Here is a 15,750-nt window from a genome sequence, read left to right as displayed (position 1 = left end):
TTATAGGCGTGAGCTGCTGCGCCCAGCCTATAGACTATGATTTTTGCATTTTTATTTATTAGATTGCTTTTTAATTTTCGTGTTTTGTGTTTTTGTGCCTTGTCAGACTTGTGGAACAAAAATCCAAAACTTAACCACCTTTTGGAATGCCCCAGAATAGTTTATACTGAAACAGATCTTGGTTTGTAAAAGAACACTATAAAAACATTTTGGGGGCAACTAGGGAGATTTAAATATGAACGAGATATTTGATGCTTTTCTGAATTATTTTGTGTGCTATAGTGTTGTGCTTGTGACAATTCTTTACTCTTAGAAAATGAGGAAGTATTAGGGATGAACCATCAGAATGTTTGACTTGAAAATCGTCAGCAAAAAGAAAACACATAAGATAAAGCAAATATGGCAAAATGTTAATTATTAAATCTAGGAGGAGGACACAGCTGTTCATGGTACTAGATTAAAACTTTGTAGAAGTTTAAAATTTTAAGCTTTCATAAAAAAAAATTGGGGGGAAATACATAGCAGTTATGGTCTTTCTGCAGCTTAAGAGACTATCTGGACTTGGCTTTGTAGCAGGAAGATCTTTAAAAACCTTTTCATTTCTGCTATGCTTATTAACCTATGAGGTTTCAGGGTCAACCTGTGGTCACTTACAACCTGTTAAAAAAATTCATCTAGATTTCCAAATTTATTGGACTAACATTGTAACTAATAGTGGTCCTAAACCTGGCTGGAAATGTTATTTGAAGTGCTTGTTCAAAATGCAAATTATTTCATTTTTTTAGAAGTGGATTCTTACAGTGTTGCCCAGGCTGGTCTCAAACTCCTAGGCTCAAGTGATCCTCCCACTTTGGCTTCAAAAAGTGCTGGCCTTATAGGCATGAGCCATGGCATCCAGGTGGAGATGCCCAGTAGGCAACCGGACCAAAGCCTCAAGCTCAGAAGATGTCTGGGCTGGAAATTGACTTGGGAGTCACCAGCAGTTTTAACTAAGAGGAAGCTCTGAATTTGGATGAGAACACACAAGCGGAGTATGAAAGGCACACGCAAAAGAAGAAGGGCCTGTGGAGCCTGGGAAGGAGCCATTAGAGGAGAAGGACCAGGCCGGGCGCCACTGCCTGGTGGAGGAACAGCTGTGTCCTCCTCCTAGATTTAATAATTAACATAATCCCAGCACTTCAGGAGGTGGAGGCAGGTGGATCAAGAGGTCAGGAGCTCGAGACCAGCCTGACCAGCATGGTGAAACCCCGTCTCTACTAAAAATGCAAAAATTAGCTGGGCGTGGTGGCACACACCTGTAATCCCAGCTACTCAGGAGGCTGAGACAGCAGAATCACTTGAACCTGGGAGGCGAATGTTGCGGTGAGCCGAGATTGTGCCACTGCACACCAGCCTGGGTGACAGAGCCAGACTCCATTAAAAAAAAAAAGAGAGAGAGAGAAGCAGGACCAGGAGAAGGCCATCAAGACCAAAAGCCTATGGGTACTGTGTCCCTCTGTCACATGCAGGGAAACTGCTGACTTGGGCACTAGGGGTGTTCCTAGAAAAGGAAAAGCTAAATGAAAGTGCGCTTTTTAAACCTTTCTTTAGAACTTTCTGGGCACAATGGAAAAGCTAGTCACTGGGTTCTGGTTCTGGCTCTGACACTGATTAGATGTTAATACCTAGGGCAAATCACCTCACCCTCAGGACCTTTTCCTCACCTGTATGTGAAAGGATTTAGAGGCAAAGGAAGAAGAATCTGGCTGAAGGGTGAAGTTTGTGCAGCCCTCCCCACCACCACTCCCCTCACTGTCCCTTCTCTGCAGCAGCTCTGCCTTCGTTTCCATGTTCCTGTTCATCTGACGTATGAAAATAGGCCAAAAAACAAAACTACCAGGCCAAATGGATCTTGAAAGCCCAGCTAAAAATCTGGTGTGCCTTTTCAGTCTCTATTCTCATTTCTACCCATGTCTCACAGGCTTAATGACCATTTCCAGGCTGTTACTAGTCAGATTTTTATTTTTACTCCAGAGGACCTATTTCAACATCTCCGGCTGCCGCCATCTCTATTTACATGTCTCAACATCAGTTCCAACTCAACTATGTGAAACTAAATGTATCACCTCCAAAAGAGCTTCTCCACCCAGCACTTACAGGCACCACAATTTATGCCCAGTTTTCTAATTCTCCCTGCTTTCCAGCCCTCCAAGAAAACCTAAGTCACTTCAGTGACTTTCGAGTCTTTCATTCCCCACCTCTGGTAAGGGACAGGGCTCTTCTTACTCTCAGGAAATGTCCCTGATTCCTCCTTTCAGTTCCCACCACCACCGTCCACAGGTAGGCCTTCCTCACCTTGGGGAGACTGCTACAGGCACTTCCTAACTGGTCTCTCCTTTCCATCAGCATTCCTCCAGCTGCCGCTTCATAGTATGAGGTGAGTCTAGGGGAACGTGAGCTCAGTTTTTGGGGGAGAGGTGGATATGTGTTCCAGGAAAACTCTCCGTGTTTTTCCTCTGCTCTTACATCACCACCACAACAATCATCATCACAGAAGAATTCTGGGACCAAATGTGAGGGGGTTCCTCCCTACCACCAAGCAGCGGACACCAGCTGGGTATCCTCCTATTCAATTCCAACACTGTCTACCTGAGGAAGACACACCGGCACCAGTCATATGTCTTGGACTCCAGAACTTCTGACCAACCACTTTCAAGTTGGGGTTGCCATGATCCCATCTTTGGGTTTGAATAACTTGCTGGAGCAGCTCACAGAACTCATGGAAACATGTTTCCTGGTTTATTATAAAGGATGTTGCAAAGGCTACAAGGAAGAGATGTGTAGGGCAAAGTATGGGAGGAGGGGCACAAAGCTTCCATGCCCTCCAGAACCTCCACGAACGTGGTCAGCTATCTAGAAGCTCTCCAAACCCAGTTCTATTGGCCTTTATGGGAACTTTATGTTATCAGCATTCCTTCCTCCAAGGGATGGGGCAGGAGCTCTCAGGAGGTATTTAAGACCCACAATCAGCAAGATTAGAGTTCTGCCTTGGGGCAGGTGAAAGGAGAGCAGGAGAGGCCAGAGAGATTCTGTTTCCTGAGGCCTGCCCCTGAGGCCTAACACAACTGGCATTATAACAAAAGACTTAACAAGGCTATGGGAGTCAGGGACCGTGCTTGAAAATGTGTGTATGTATGTGTGTGTATACCTCGTAACACCACAATACGCAAGTGACTTACAGCAGTCAGAAATTAGGGGCTGAAAATCAGAATTGCAGTCATTTGCAAAGAATAAGAGAAGAAATCTATGAGTAGATGCAATCGGAGAAGGAAAGAGTATACTACAGAAAGCAAAGGATCAAACTTGGGAATTATCATATTGGGTTAGAACTGTGTACAGGGAGGAGTCAAAGAGTGTGTATGCATCTAAATATACACATAAATGCATAGATACACAGAATTTTTAAATTTCTGATGCAGTTCTCTGCAAATCAGGAGACCTGAGTTCAAAACTTTGCTGACACACCATGTAACTTTGGACAAGTTACTTAACGTTGGGAGACCAATTTAATATACCCACGTGGGTTAGACAGGTAACTGAGTAAAGCTGGCAACCTGAAGAGAAAAGCAAACACTGAGAAGGCCACTAGCTCTCGCCTGCTGTTTCCAGGACAGCAAACAGCAAAGAGGTGGCACAGTATAGCAGTTATAACCATGAACTCTTTTGTGTGGATGTTAAGTTTTCATTTCCCTAGGGTAAATACCTAGGAGAGGGATTGCCGGGTTGTATAGTAAACATATGTTTATTTACAAGAAATGGCCAAACTGTTGTCTAGAGTGTCTGTACCATTTTGTACACCCACCAGCAATGTATGAATGTTCTAGTTATTCCATATCCTCACCAGCACTTGGTATTGTCATTTTTTGTTTTTAATTTTAGCCATTCTAACTGGTGTGGTTTTGATTTACATTTCCCCAACAGCTAATGATGATCTTTTCACATGCCTATTTGCCACCCATCTTTCTCTGAAGAATTGCTTCTTTTCCCCATTGTTTTGTTTTCTTATTGTTGTAGTGAAAATCTTTATATATTCTGAACACAAATCCTTTGTTGGTATGTTTTGCAAGTACAGTATTTTTCCCCAGTATGTAGCTTGTCTTTCCCTTCTATTAAGTGTCTTTTGCAGAGCAAAATTTTTAAATTTAAGATTTTTTTTTTTTTTTTTTTGAGATGGAGTCTCTCTCTGTCACCCAGGCCGGAGTGCAGTGGTGATCTCGGCTCACTGCAACCTCTGCCTCCCAGAGTCAAGTGATTCTCTTATCTCAGCCTCCCAAGTAGCTGGGATTACAGGCGCACGCCACCAAGCCCGACTAATTTTTGTATTTTTAGTAGAGAGGGGGTTTCACCTTGCAGGCCAGGCTGGTCTCAAACTCCTGACCTCGTGATCTGCCCGTCTCGGCCTCCCAAAGTGCTGGGATAATAGACATGATTCATTCTTATGGATTGTGCTTTTCATATGTCTAAGAACTATGGCCTAACCCAAGATCATGAAAATTTTCTCCTGTTTTCTATTAGTTTTATAGGTTTACATTGCACATTTAGCTGTATGATGCATTGAGTTAATTTTTGTATAAGGTTTGAGGTATATAGGTTGAGATTAATTTCTTTGTATATGGGTATCTAGTTGTTCCAACAGTGTATGTTGAAAAGACTATCCTTTCTCTATTGAATTGCCTTTGAAACTTTGCTCAAAACAACTGCCCATTATTTGTGGGGGTCTATTTTTTTCATTTTATTTATTTATTTTAGTTGTTTTATTTCCATAGGTTATTGGGGAACAGGTAGTGTTTGGTAACCTGAGTAAGTTCTTTAGTGGTGATTTGTGAAATTTGGGTACACCCATCACCCGAGCAGTATATACTGCACCCAATTTGTAGTATTTTATCCTTCACCCCCTTCCCACTCTTTCCCCGAGTCCCCACAGTCCATTGTCTCATTCTTATGCCTTTGCATCCTCATAGCTTAGCTCCTACTTATGAGTGAGAACATACGATGTTTGGTTTTCCATTCCTGAGTTACTTTACTTAGAAAAATAGTCTCCAATATTATCCAGGTCGCTGCGAATGCCATTCATTCATTCCTTTTTATGGCTGAATATCATATATATATATATATCTCACAGTTTCTTTATCCACTCATTGATTGATGGGCATTTGGGTTGGTTCCACATTTTTGCAATTGCAAATTGTGCTGCTGTAAACATGTGTGTGCAAGTTATCTTTTTCTTACAATGACTTTTTTTTTTTTGAGATGGAATCTTGCACTGTCACCCAGACTGGAGTGCAATGGCACAATCTCACCTCACTGCAATCTCCGCCTCCTGGGGTCAAGCCATTCTCCTGCCTCAGCCTCCCGAGTAGCTGGGATTACAGGTGCCCACCACCATGCCCAACTAATTTTTGCATTTTTAGCAGAGACGGGGTTTCACCATGTTGGCCAGGCTGGTCTCGAACTCCTGACCTCAGGTGATCCACCTGCCTTGGCCTCCCAAAGTGCTGAGATTACAGGTGTGAGTCACCGTGACCAACCAATGACTTCTTTTCCTCTGGGTAGGTACCCAGCAGTGGGACTGCTGGATCAAATGGTAGTTCTACTTTTAGTTCTTGAAGGAATCTCCACACTGTTTTCCACAGTGGTTGTACTACTTTACATTCCCACCAGCTGCATAGACGCGTTCCCTGTTTACAGCATCCATGCCAATATCTTTTTTTCTTTTTAATTTTTTGATTATGGCCATTCTTGCAGGGGTAAGATGGTATCACATTGTGGTTTTGATTTGCATTTCCCTAATCATTAGTGATGTTGAGCATTTTTTCATATGTTTGTTGGCCATTTGTATATCTTCTTTTGAGAATTGTTTATTCATGTCCTTAGCACACTTTTTTTTTGTGGTAGAACAAAATTTGATTGTTTATATGCCCTGAATTTTTTTAAATTATACTTTGAGTTCTAGGGTACATGTGCACAACGTGCAAGTTTGTTACATATGTATACATGTGCCATGTTGGTGTGCTGCACCCATTAACTTGTCAATTACATTAGGTATATCTCCTAATGCTATCCCTCCCCCCGCCCTGCACCCCACGACAGGCCCCGGTGTGTGATGTTCCCCACCCTGTGTCCAAATGTTTTAATTGTTCAGTTCCCACCTGTGAGTGAGAACATGCGGTGTTTGGTTTTCTTTCCTTGCAACAGTTTGCTCAGAATGATGGTTTCCAGCTTCATCCATGTCCCTACAATGGACATGAGCTCATCCTTTTTTATGGCTGCATAGTATTCCATGGGCACACTTTTTGATGGGATTTTTTTCTTGCTAATTTGAGTTTGTTGTAGATTCTGGATATTAGTCCTTTTTCAGATGTATAGATTGTGAAGATTTTCTCCCACTCTGTGGGTTGTCTGTTTGCTGATTGTTCCTTTTGCCGTGAAAAAAGCTCTTTAGTTTAATTGTCCCAAATATTTATCTTTGTTTTTATTGCATTTGCTTTTGGGTTCTTGGTCATGAAATCCTTGCCTAAGCCAGTGTCTAGAAGGGTTTTTCTGGTGTTATCTTCTAGAATTTTTATAGTTTCAGGTCTTAGATCTAAGTCCTTGATCCTTAAAAGTCCTTGATAAAAAATATTTTTGTTAAGCACTATGTAACACACTGCATGCCACATAATACACTGCATAACATTCTAGCAGGGGTAAGTGACCATAGCTGAATTCTTTTCTTATCAATCAGGAAAATGAAAATCCTTCCTTAATCAATTTCTCCAAAGTCTCTGACACATAACAACAACTCCAAAAATGCACCTCTCTTTCCATCAAACTCCACTGATATGAAAAATGGGCAACCTGTTTTTCCTTGCCCTGTTAGTGAACTTGTGGGTGTACCCAGTGGCCACTCTAAGGATCTCTATAATCAACAAGACACAGTAACAAGTGTTGGCAAGCAAGTGGAGAAATCAGAACACTCACACATTGCCAGTGGGGATGTAAAGTGGAAAATAGTTTGGAAGTTCCTCGAAAAGTTAAACATGGAATTAACATACAACTCAGTAATTCCACTTACTCCTAGGTAATATCCAAAAGAACTGAAAACGTATGTTAACACAAAAACCTGTACACAAATGTTCACAGGGCATTATTCATAATAGCCAAAAAGTGGAAGCAACCCAAATGTCCACCATCTGATGAATAAATGAGTTATATCTATATAATACTATTCAGCCACAAAAATGAAATTCTGATACATGCTACAATGCAAATGAAGCTTTAAAATATTATGTTTTGAGGTTGGGCATGGTGGCTCATGCCTGTAATCCCAGCACTTTGGGAGGCTGAGGCAGGCAGATCACTTGAGGTCACAAGTTTGAGACCAGTGTGGCCAACATGGCAAAACCCTGTCTCTGCTAAAAATACAAAAATTAGTCAGGTGTGGTGGCGCACACCTGTAGTACCAGCTACTCGTGAAGCTGAGGCAGGAGCATTGCTTGAACAGGGAAGGTGGAGGTTGCAGTGAGCCAAGATCTTACCACTCCACTCCAGCCTGGGCACCACAGTGAGACTCCATCCCCGCCCCCTACCCAAAAAAAAGTATATGTGTATATATGTTTTGAAGTTAGATGTGATTTAAAAATTAGAAAAACAAAATATGTATATTAAGTGAAAAAAGCTGGCAAAAACCACATATTGTATGATTCCTTTTATAATGAAATGTCCAGAATCCACAGAGACAGAAAGTAGGATGGTGCTTGGTAAGGGCTGGAGGGAAGAGGGAAAGGAGAGTGACTACTAACAGGTATGGATTTGTGCTGTTTTTCTGAGGTGATGAAATGTTCTAGAACTAGAATTGCACAACTCTGTGGATATTCCAATAACTACTGAAAGGGGGGACTTTAAGGCATGTCAATTATACTTCAATAAATATGTTAAGTTCAAGATGTTAGTGATCAAACTGAGATATTACATTCATTACTCATTCAACCTATAGAGTTGGGGTTCCCCCACATCAAACTATGAATTTTAACTAGGACTGCCAATTTATGGCTGGTTAGTCTAATGTAAGAGTATCGTGCTAAGGAGTTAAAGGTCCTGTGTGAAACATACCAGTGACAAAAATGGTTGAGTATGTCAATACAAATTTATCATACTGACCAAGTTTTATTAATGGTGGGCAAATGGCATCAATCCTATATAGGAGAAATAATTGTATACCTTCACAGACAAAAATAATTTCCAAGGAGTGTGGAGATAAGAGGAATACTTTCTCTTTTCACTCAATTTCTTTGAGCCTTGGTTTCCTTATCTTGAAAATACAAAAAACAACCTCCTAAAGTTGCAACCTTTGCAATCACAAGAGCCCATGAGAGGTGGCCACCCCAGAGTGATTCCCAGCTCTGTGGTCAGTGGGCCAGTGAAGGGAGGATGATCTACACAAGTGCCTAGAACAGTCAATGAAATGTATTTTCATTTAATAGTCATAAATAATCCTGTAACTGTGTAGTTCATGGTAGTAGGTAACTTACTACATGCCTTCAATTCTCTAATTTTGTGACCTTAAGAGATTTGCAAATAGGGAAAAGAAAGAGAGAGACAGTGTCTTTAAGAACAAAGTTTTGGGCAAACTAGTAATTTATTTACAATTGTAATTTATAAACAGTAACACAAACATCTTTACATTAATATTATGAAAAATGTCCCATGGCTGAAATGGGTGAAAAATGAGACTTCAGTACATTTCTAAAGGGGTGCCAAGAAAAGGGAAAAAATGCAATTACAACAGTTTTAGGGGAGAGTTATATCAAGTAATGCACCTAGGTGCAATTTCATGCAGATGTCTTCAACCACTCAAACTGTTTTTATTAGATATTAGAATAAAATTTCCCAAATTATGTTGCCTTTTATTCACTTGATTTCCATAAGTAAATCAAAATGACTGGCTGTTAACAGGGTACATCTAAATATTTCTCCCATCAACCCCTTAGAGATAATCCCTTACATTTTAGGACATGTCAGATTGTGGGTATTGCAACTTCCCAAATGGATTTTACAAAATACTATTCCATGGCCCTAAATGTGTTCCTGGACTTCTCTTACCAAATGTGTCTAATATGGACCATTATAAATTAAATGAAGAACGCTGCAAAATACAGCAGAGCAATTTTCAGTACATTAAGACAATGTGTCCAAAACTAATTTCAAACCACTGGAACTTCAATGAGAGGACAAAACCAAAAGAAGAGAAAGAAATTCAGAAAATGATGACAAAAACAATTGTACTTTATAAGCTCTCTGATTATTTGGCATTTATATAAGTGGATATTACTGTGGTCACAGACCATAATCCTCAATGAGGATAAATCAATGTGGCTTAAACATTTGTTTTAAAATATGAATAAAATAATCCGCTTGTAATAAAACCAATGACATTTTTACAGACACAATTCTGTCCCCAAAATGTTAATTTTAATCTTAACAGCCTACCTACTTATTTTAATGCTTTTAACTGCTCTTTAGAAATCATTAGGATGAAGTTTCTTATCTTTGAAGCATTTAGTGTCCAAAAAATTAGCTAATGGAGCAAAGGTGATTTAGAAACTGATGTTTCAACATTTTACTAGCTGTACTGTATTTTGAGTTGGCAGGAATCTTCAACCATTCCATTAAAAAGATTTCACTCTTTTTAAGAAGAATAGAAACAGTGAGTGAATTATTAATCTATGTTTTAGTTTCTGATATTGCTCAGTGAGTAAAACAATGTAGCAATTAAGGAAGTCTCTTCAACTAATTCTATCTCTAATTTTCAGTGAAGACACTGCAGATATGTATGTGTACAGTTGTTTTTGATCCCGAAAGTGATGCATGTTCCCTTAAAACAGCTCTTCAAAACAGAACTGCATTCTGTACCCTTACTTAGTCCATAAGGGCACAGGGTCAGTTACTTCAAAGTAATTTAATAACTGACCTTTATAATACATCATTTTATAAAACCAAAATGCAGAAGAAAAATTTTTAAAAAGTTTACTGTCCACAGATTGATTATAATAATTTACACTTTCTTAGACCTGCTATTTAAGCAGCCCCATGAGCAAATGAAAGGTCTCCAGTTAGTATTCAGTCAGGAGGTATATGTCCATGTTTCTCTTGGTTGTCTTAATTTCTTTTTATATAATTTTCTTTTATATTAACTTTCCAAAGCATCCAAAACTTTCATGATCTGCTGTTTTATGGCTTTAGTTGCATCCCCTGCATTTGGAATCAAATACCTAAGGGGGAAAAAAAATACATATATATACATATATATATACATATGTATATGTATATAAAAATACAGTGCTTTCCCTTCAAGACTCAGCTGATAGGTCACCTCCAATGGGAAGCTTTCCCTAACCCACAAAGCCAGCAGAGATGCCTCCTATGTACTCCCATAGCTTATTTGAACATAATCCAAAGCTTATTTCGAAAGAAAATCTAAATGCAAAGGCAATGTGATTTTTCATATAGTGTAAAGCTAAAATTCTTTGAACCATTATTAAATATAGGTAATAGCTAGATAAAACACAAGATAAAAAATATAATATTCCACTCCCCAATACAGATGTACCTTCAATTAGCTACAAAAATCACACATGAATTGTTGGTATCCAATTCCAAAGACAATGACAATTCCAACACTTAATAGTTTGACTTTAAGCAAATAATTTAAGTTCACTAAAACAGATTCCTATATAAAAAGTAGCTATAGTTATCCAAACTTTACAGAGGGTTATGTACATAATAAAATGGCGTTATGAGGTCTGAAATATTTAAAAAAGATAAGACTTATGATAACTATTGCAAAATATCAACACCATAGATTAAATGTCAATTTTCTTTTCTTGGAGAATAAAAATAGTGGTATTTTTTTAAAAAAGCATCTTCGGTAAAACCTAACAATTCCACTGTATAAATCATCTATGAGTGTTATATGCGAGGCAGAATAGAGAACCATAAATATCAATGAAGAAAGGGAGAGAGAGAATCTAGTTACTTTATCTTCCACTATTAAGACTATCTTCCAAAACTCTGAATTAAAAAAAAAAAGATGTTGATCCATATATAATAAACTTCAATTTATTTAGCAAAATTTGTGGGAAAGCCTTTAAAACACAATTCCCAACTTTTACTATACATGAGAGAGTCATAATTCAAATCTCCTTTGGTTAGGATTAATTTATAAGTAGATATTAAAATGTGTATACCTCTCACCCATTGAATCTACTTGCAGGAATTTATCCTGAGAAGACTAATTGGACAACTATGTAAACATACATGTTTTTAAAGGCCCACTAGAAGATTAATAGTGAAACACATGAAAACAATGTAAATGCCAATCAACATGAGGCTTGTTAAATCAATCTCCTGAGAAATCCTTATAACAGAATATCTACCATTAAAAAGCTAAGAATTTATATTTATTGGGCCGGGCACGGTGGCTCACTCCTGTAATCTCAGCACTTTGGGAGGCCAAGGTGGGTGGATCACGAGGTCAGGAGATGGAGACCATCCTGGCTAACACGGTGAAACCCCATCTCTACTAAAAATAAAAAAATTAGCTGGGCATGGTGGCGGGCGCCTCTAGTCCCAGCTACTCGGTAGGCTGAGGCAGGGAGAATGGTGTGAACCTGGGAGGCGGAGCTTACAGTGAGCCGTGATTGCAACACTGCACTCTAGCCTGAGTGACAGAGACTCCGTCTCAAAAAAATTAATTAATTAATTTTAAAAAATTTATATTTATTAAAATGTAAGTATATTCACACTATACTATTTTCTTAAAAAATCAGAACACAAAAACAAGCCTATATCACATTTATCTAGTTTTTAGTAGAGAAATAACATATGCATTAAAAAAAATCTGAGAAGATACACATCAATGTGTTAACAGAGAATTAGAATGACATATTCTTTATATTATTAATTGAAAATATCACTATGTAAATATTTATTCTTACATAAAGCAATGAAGTGATTTTTTTTTTTTTTACAAATCAGGTATTATTTTCTTTTAACAAATTACATAAAACAGTATAGATTCATGATGTTTGCTACCTAATTGTCAGTACAAGATGAAAGAAGCTGAATAATTTCCTCTTCCAACTGAAGTTGATTATTTAAAAGTGCTGCGATATAACCTTAAGCTTACTATTTATCCAAGCACTCCTGTAAATAATAAGTGTAATCCTAAATCCCAGTGGGGGAACAACTTGAACTGATGCAAGGTATAATAAACCACAAATCAGGAGTCAGGAAGGCTATATTTGGTTCTGTCACAAACTAAGTGTTAGGATCTGGGAAGTCATTCCACCCCTCTGGGCTTCATATTTTTATCTATAATTAAAAAATGGTTTAGTATCAATATCAGTGTGGTCCACAGCTCTTGGGCCAGTCTGTGAACTGTTAGTGACCCACAATGAGACAAAGGGGGGCTTGTACCAGGCTGTAAATTACCTATATCACCCAGCACACTGCTTAGTTCACTGACAGTTTGTCAAAACAAGAATTTTTCGATGAAGGAAAATAAAAATATCAACATATTCTAAAACAAGTTTCTTATTTCTCTGCAAGCCAGCAATTAGTGCAGCACTGGTACAGATTAACAATAAGGATCCTTGGGTCAGAAACTTTATGAAATTAGCTATGGCACTTACTCAAATCATGTGCTAATGGCTAAACCACACATGACTAAGGACTCCGGAGAAAGAGATAAGAAACACTAAAAGTGGTTCAGCTATCCTATTCCACCATCCATTCCCCAAAATAAAGAAACAAACTCTTTATAGTGAACTACAGTAATTCAGATAATATCTGAATTCAGATAATATTATCTTAAGGAAAATCTTACCTTTCGATTGCCAAGATTTCTATTCCTGAAGCACTGCTATTTCCATACTTGAAGGTAATGAGTTCAGGATGTTTTTTTTTGGATGTAATTTTAACTACAGAATTCAGCGCTTGTCGAGACTGTATATAAGCCAATCCTTTCCGTGAAACAATCTCCCTTAAACAGTACATATGTGTTGCAGTAACCAACAGATGACTTGAGACAAAAAAAGCATTAAAAGAAAAAGAATTTTTAAGTAAATTTAATTCAAAACAGGTGTTGTTTCAACCATCTCAATTATTAGAAATGTTCAACTCTAAATAAAATTGAGTTAAAAGATATAAACAGAGGTTAATCTATAAACAAGTAAGCTACACATTAACACCTTTTAATTGTATGCAAAATTAATATTTTATTAACAGATAATCCTGCAATGATTGAAAATATAATAAATATAATAAAAAGTTCCATACAACATAGAAATCACTACAATAATATATTTTTTATTGAAATGGAGTATATTACGTTTCAGATTTTTTAACGCTATTACCTATATTCATAAACTATTCTCATTCAATGCACCATATCCTATATCTAATATCCAAGATCACTAGGCAATTGTTGGGTTTCCCTACATATTTTGTAAACATTCTGTAACTGGATCCTGAAGGCAAAATGAGCATAGTATTATTAACACTCACCCAACCCCTGTATCTCAGCTTCTTTTTAATATAATACTCTCACATTTTTTATGTACAGTAATACAATACGACAGTTATCAGACAAGTGCAGAATGTGGAACATTCTGTAGGATGATTGACCTGGACTCAAAGGATTCATTCATCATGAAGAGAAAAGGGAAGCGAGGGGGTGGGGGGATGAGTTCTGCTGTACACAGGGTGAGACTAAAGACACATAACAGACAATGCAATGTGTAAACCATGAACTGGATCATGGATCACCAAAGAAAAAACACACTACAAAAGATACTTTGGGGACACTGAAAATTTGGGGTATGATCTGTATGTTAAATGATGTTAATTTACAAAAATTTTTAGGTGGGGTAATGGCATTGAAGTTGTGCAGGAGAATGCTCATATACTTGGGAAGTTTATGCTGAAGCATTTAGGGATGAAGTGTCACATTTGTAGACTTCTTTTGAAAGGTTTGACAAAAATGTACATATACATGCATATGTATATATATATACATACGAAATGGGGTGGTATTAAAAGGTGGTAACAGTTGATAAATCTAAGAATCATGGCCGGCCACGGTGGCTCACACCTGTAATCCCAGCACTTTGGGAGGCCGAGGTGGGCGGATCACCTGAGGTCCGGAGTTCGAGACCAGCCTGACCAACATAGAGAAACCCCGTCTCTACTAAAAATACAAAATTAGCCGGGGGTGGTGGCGCATGCCTGTAATCCCAGCTACTCTGGAGGCTGAGGCAGGAGAATCACTTGAACCTGGGAGGCAGAGGTTGCTGTGAGCAGAGATCGTGCCACTACACTCCAGCCTGGGCAACAAGAGCAAAACTCCGTCTCAAAAAGAAAAAAAAAGAATCATAAGGGTGTTCAATGTACTATTCCTTCAACATTTTTGTATAAAATTTTTCAAAATAAAAATTACATAATACTGTAAATTCAAGACCTGTAATACAAGTAGACAGAAGGGAATTATATCTTATTGTACTAGGATAAATAAAGGTTCTTCTGTAGTTCAGTTTTGTATTATTAACTTCCCCAAATTCAATTTTACTTCTTATGAAGACATTTTTAAAAGTACCTGGGAAACATGTGTCCACTTTCTTTTACTTCTTTACAAGGAAAATGATGTTTGACATCTGGTTTGTTTATCCAAGTCTGAATGTTTACAACCTCTTTTCTATCATCATCTGACATTGAAGAACTGTCAATTTCATCTATAAAAAATACAAAGTATTAAATATGGATATTACCAACTTTTAAAATGATACATTCCCTAACAGTCTAAAAAAATTTCAGTAGTATTTTGAAGATATGGATTGAAAAACAAACAGCCTGGGCACAGTGACTCACGCCTGCAATCACAGCACTTTGGGAGGCTGAGGCAGGCAGATCACCTGAGGGCAGGAGTTGGAGACCAGCCTGGGCAACATGGTGAAACCCCATCTCTACTAAAAAATACAAAAAATTAGCTGGGTGTGGTGGTGCACACCTGTAATCTCAAATACTCGGGAGGCTGAGGCATGAGAATCGCTTGAACCCAGGAGGTGGAGGTTGCAGTGAGCTGAGATTGCGCCACTGCACTCCAGCTTGGGCAACAGAATGAGACTGTCTCAAAAAAAAGAAAAAAAAAAAAAAAGAATAACGCAATCAATTCTAATCCTGCTACTCTATTTCCTTATGCCACTGATAATATAGAAATATTATTATCAAACATCACTTTCATATGGTAACAAAGTCAGGTTTAAATATTAAGAATACACTTTTAAAGATTAAACCATTTGGGGTATTTCAATTGTTTTGATATGCATAACTTAACTATGATCTGACTAGTCTGTAAAGAGATGGCTGAATTGTTAAACAATAGGCACCTATCTTGAGAGTAAAGATGGCAGATTTCGTTTTATCTTGCTGCTTTTTTGATTTTAAGGAAAATAATAAAATCAATCCTGAGATAAATAAGTAAAAATTTAAGGTTATTTTCCCTAAGAGAAATATAAAATAATTATATTTTCTAATTTAAGAAAGGGATAATACAGTCTCTAAGGTAAATAATTACAGGTTCTGTCCTTTGCTTTCTAACAAATACTGCAAAATATAGAGACATAATGAAAAAGGAAATCGCACGTTATCTACACCAGCTTAAACAAAAGTGAAACT

General features: G+C 37.8%; 1 protein-coding gene across 4 annotated transcripts in view, besides 1 other annotated feature; it reads right to left on the bottom strand.

The window, feature by feature from the left end:
• Positions 5,444 to 5,674: a silencer, noted in NCBI's record as "fragment chr3:100047046-100047276 (GRCh37/hg19 assembly coordinates)". NCBI's record gives its function as "represses an EF-1alpha promoter that drives an FKBP-Casp9 reporter gene in an ReSE screen in HepG2 liver carcinoma cells {active_cell/tissue: HepG2}" and the evidence as "EXISTENCE:reporter gene assay evidence [ECO:0000049][PMID:32094911]".
• The window catches only part of TBC1D23 (TBC1 domain family member 23), a 64,247-nt gene continuing 57,134 nt past the window's right edge, over positions 8,638 to 15,750 (bottom strand). For all 4 annotated transcript variants that reach the window (NM_001199198.3, NM_018309.5, XM_017006841.3 and 1 more), the window contains 3 exons: positions 14,672 to 14,807; positions 12,905 to 13,099; positions 8,638 to 10,289 (listed from right to left, as the gene is read on the bottom strand). In NM_001199198.3, the coding sequence (NP_001186127.1) occupies positions 10,208 to 10,289; positions 12,905 to 13,099; positions 14,672 to 14,807 (413 nt within the window). In that variant the 3' untranslated portion in view covers positions 8,638 to 10,207. The remainder of the gene's footprint in view (positions 10,290 to 12,904; positions 13,100 to 14,671; positions 14,808 to 15,750) is intronic.

The sequence above is a fragment of the Homo sapiens genome, chromosome 3 (assembly GCF_000001405.40).
Source record: "Homo sapiens chromosome 3, GRCh38.p14 Primary Assembly".
In the NCBI taxonomy this organism is placed as follows: domain Eukaryota; kingdom Metazoa; phylum Chordata; class Mammalia; order Primates; family Hominidae; genus Homo; species Homo sapiens.
The sequence above is the reverse complement of the archived record's forward strand: the minus strand, read 5'-3'. Positions and strand labels throughout refer to the sequence as shown.